At 55.5% G+C, this 3,618-nt stretch overlaps 1 annotated feature.

Moving 5' to 3' along the window:
- Positions 1,654–2,853: an enhancer, noted in NCBI's record as "BRD4-independent group 4 enhancer chr7:158961997-158963196 (GRCh37/hg19 assembly coordinates)". NCBI's record gives its function as "activates an origin of replication core promoter dependent on BRD2, P300/CBP, MED14 and CDK7 cofactors, and independent of BRD4, by STARR-seq in HCT116 cells {active_cell/tissue: HCT116}" and the evidence as "EXISTENCE:reporter gene assay evidence [ECO:0000049][PMID:35650434]".

The raw sequence follows: 3,618 nt of genomic DNA, 5'->3' as shown, positions 1-3,618 counted from the left end.
AGTGCCCTTTCCGTCTCAAACGGCATCGTGACAGATGACCTGAGGCGTGGGGGCCAGTTCCAGACGCCGGCCCAGTGCCCTTTCCGTCTCAAACGGCATCGTGACAGATGACCTGAGGCGTGGGGGCCAGTTCCAGACACTGGCCCAGTGCCCTTTCCGTCTCAAATGGCATCGTGACAGATGACCTGAGGCGTGCGGGCCAGTTCCAGACGCCGGCCCAGTGCCCTTTCCGTCTCAAACGGCATCGTGACAGATGACCTGAGGCGTGGGGGCCAGTTCCAGACACTGGCCCAGTGCCCTTTCCGTCTCAAATGGCATCGTGACAGATGACCTGAGGCGTGGGGGCCAGTTCCAGACACTGGCCCAGTGCCCTTTCCGTCTCAAACGGCATCGTGACAGATGACCTGAGGCGTGGGGGCCAGTTCCAGACGCCGGCCCAGTGCCCTTTCCCTCTCAAACGGAATCGTGACAGATGACCTGAGGCGTGGGGGCCAGTTCCAGACGCCGGCCCAGTGCCCTTTCCGTCTCAAACGGCATCGTGACAGATGACCTGAGGCGTGGGGGCCAGTTCCAGACACTGGCCCAGTGCCCTTTCCGTCTCAAATGGCATCGTGACAGATGACCTGAGGCGTGCGGGCCAGTTCCAGACGCCGGCCCAGTGCCCTTTCCGTCTCAAACGGCATCGTGACAGATGACCTGAGGCGTGGGGGCCAGTTCCAGACACTGGCCCAGTGCCCTTTCCGTCTCAAATGGCATCGTGACAGATGACCTGAGGCGTGGGGGCCAGTTCCAGACACTGGCCCAGTGCCCTTTCCGTCTCAAACGGCATCGTGACAGATGACCTGAGGCGTGGGGGCCAGTTCCAGACGCCGGCCCAGTGCCCTTTCCCTCTCAAACGGCATCGTGACAGATGACCTGAGGCGTGCGGGCCAGTTCCAGACACTGGCCCAGTGCCCTTTCCGTCTCAAATGGCATCGTGACAGATGTCCAGTCCCGTAGTCCGTTACACGAGGGGTAGGGAGGAGGCTGCCCCTGGCCAGAAGCGGGTCAGTGGCCACGAAGCCTGAAAGTTGAAGTGTTTGCTTTTCAGGAGAAGCTGCATTGCCCACGGGGCCGGCTGATTAGTGAGGGAGGTTTCCTAAGACGTGAAATCACCAAGATCAAGGAAAAGCTTTAAAGCATAACACACCAGTGTCCTGCTCACAGGATCCTCAGAGCCGTCTCGATAGTGATGCTGTGATCGTCCGTGTTTCTGCTCACGGGATCCTCCCAGCAGCCCCGTTGGTCAGGCCTTGGTTATCTGTGTGTTTCTGCTCACGCGATCCTCACAGTGGCCCCGTCAGTGATTCTGTGATTATTTGTGTGTTTCTGCTCACGTGATCCTCAGAGTTGCCCCGTCAGTGAGCCATGATCATCCGTGTTTCTGCTCACGCGATTCTCGCAGCGGCCCCATTAGTGAGCCGTGATCATCTGTGTGTTTCTGCTCATGCGATCCTCACAGTGGCCCCCTCAGTGATTCTGTGATTATCTGTGTTTCTGCTCACGCAATCCTCAGACCTCCCTGTCAGTGAGCCATGATCATCCATGTTTCTGCTCACGCGATCCTCAGAGCTGCCCATTCAGTGAGCCATGATCATCGTGTTTCTGCTCACGCAATAGTCACAGCAGCCCCGTCAGTGAGCCATGATCTTCCACGTGTTTCTGGTCATATGATCCTCACAGCAGCCCCGCCAGTCAGGCCGCGATCATCCATGTTTCTGCTCACGGGATCCTCACAGAGGCCTCGTCAGTGATTCTGTGATTATCTGTGTGTTTCTGCTCACGTGATCCTCAGAGCTGCCCCGTCAGTGAGCCGTGATCATCCATGTTTCTGCTCACGGGATCCTCACAGCGGCCCCGTCAGTGATTCTGTGATTATCTGTGTGTTTCTGCTCACGCGATCCTCAGAGCTGCCCCGTCAGTGAGCCGTGATCATCCATGTTTCTGCTCACGGGATCCTCACAGCAGCCCCGTCAGTGATTCTGTGATTATCTGTGTGTTTCTGCTCACGTGATCCTCAGAGCTGCCCCGTCAGTGATTCTGTGATTATCTGTGTGTTTCTGCTCACGCGATCCTCAGAGCTGCCCCATCAGTGAGCCATGATCATCGTGTTTCTGCTCACGCGATCCTCATGGCGGCCTTGTCAGTGATGCCGTGATTTTCTTCACCCTCAGGCGAGGTCCGGGGCCCTCTGAAGCCTGCGTCACCTGTGCGGGGTGACTGCAGGGATGAGGCAGCATTGGGATGGAGCCCGGTTATGCCCTCGATCACTGCACCCACTGACAAAGCCCAGGTGTGTGGAGAGAGAAGCCTGGGAATGGCCGTGGCCTTGCGGGCTGGGTGTTTAAACTCCCATCTCCCAGGACAACCTTGATAAAGGACTCAGAGTCCCCCAGGTTAAGCCAGTGCTGTGGGAAGGGCGCGGCGGAGGAGCACGTGGTGTGGTGAGTCATCTCTACCACTGGAGATGTGGACCCCACCCCAGGCATGGCATCAGGCCTGCCTTTCACTTGGTAGGTGGCATGGAGTCGCTCGTGTTCCCTCAAAGTTCACCCCAGGATGCAACAACGCCATTTGGGAACAGGCAATGACACATCTCCCAGGTCCAGCAAGCACGCCCAGGCCCTGCGCCGTCTCCAGCCGCACGCTCACCTTTTGGATGTCGCTGTGGATTTCGGTGCTCACTCGTGTTCCCTGGCCTTCTGGCCTACCCACGGCATGCATGTGGGGTCTGAACTGAGTTTGGGCCGTAGAAACAAGCAGAGAAAATCTGAAATCATTCAAAATATCTCCCTGTACTGGAAACACATGACCCTGAGCTTGTGAGAGGAGCAGAAGCTTAAGTGAGAGAAAGACCCCGAGGGAGGGTGAAGGCAGCGACCACAAATGAGCCCTTCAGGAGAGGATCCTTTCTTCGCTACTGTTAGAATACTTGTAATTGACAAATCGTAATTGTGTTACATTTCTGAGGTAGGATTTGATGTTACGATATATATACAATGCGGAATGATTGAATCAAGCTAGTTAACATCACCTCAAATACTTGATCCTTATTTTGTGGTGGGAGCATTTGAAGTTAAGAGAATTGCTCTTATCGATTTTGAAACATATACAGGCATCCGTTGGTATCCACGGGGGATGGGTTCCAGGATCCACAAGACACCAAAATCTTATACTCCAGTCCCACAGTCGGCCCTGCAGAACCCACAAATACAAAAAGTCAGCCCTCCGCATACACGGGATTCTCATCCCTCAGTGTTTGGCTGTGGACGAGGAATCTGCTGTGCAGACCTGACTGTGTGGACCTGTGCAGCTCAGGCCCTCATTGTTCCCAGGTCAGCTGGCATTAGCTGTAGTCACCCTGCTGTGCAATAGATCATTAGACGTATTCCTCCTAACTAAAGCTTTGCAGCCTTTGACTGACATCTCCCCATCTCCTCCTTCCTCCTTCCCCAGCCCCTGGTAACAACCATCCCGCCTCTGCTTCCATGAGTTCAGCCCTTGTAGTGAGGTCGTTCAGTATCTGCCTTTCTGTGCCTGACTTATTTCACTTAACATGACGTCCTCCAGGTTTGTCCA

Source organism: Homo sapiens, chromosome 7 (assembly GCF_000001405.40).
Source record: "Homo sapiens chromosome 7, GRCh38.p14 Primary Assembly".
NCBI classification, from domain to species: Eukaryota; Metazoa; Chordata; class Mammalia; order Primates; family Hominidae; genus Homo; species Homo sapiens.
The sequence above is the reverse complement of the archived record's forward strand: the minus strand, read 5'-3'. Positions and strand labels throughout refer to the sequence as shown.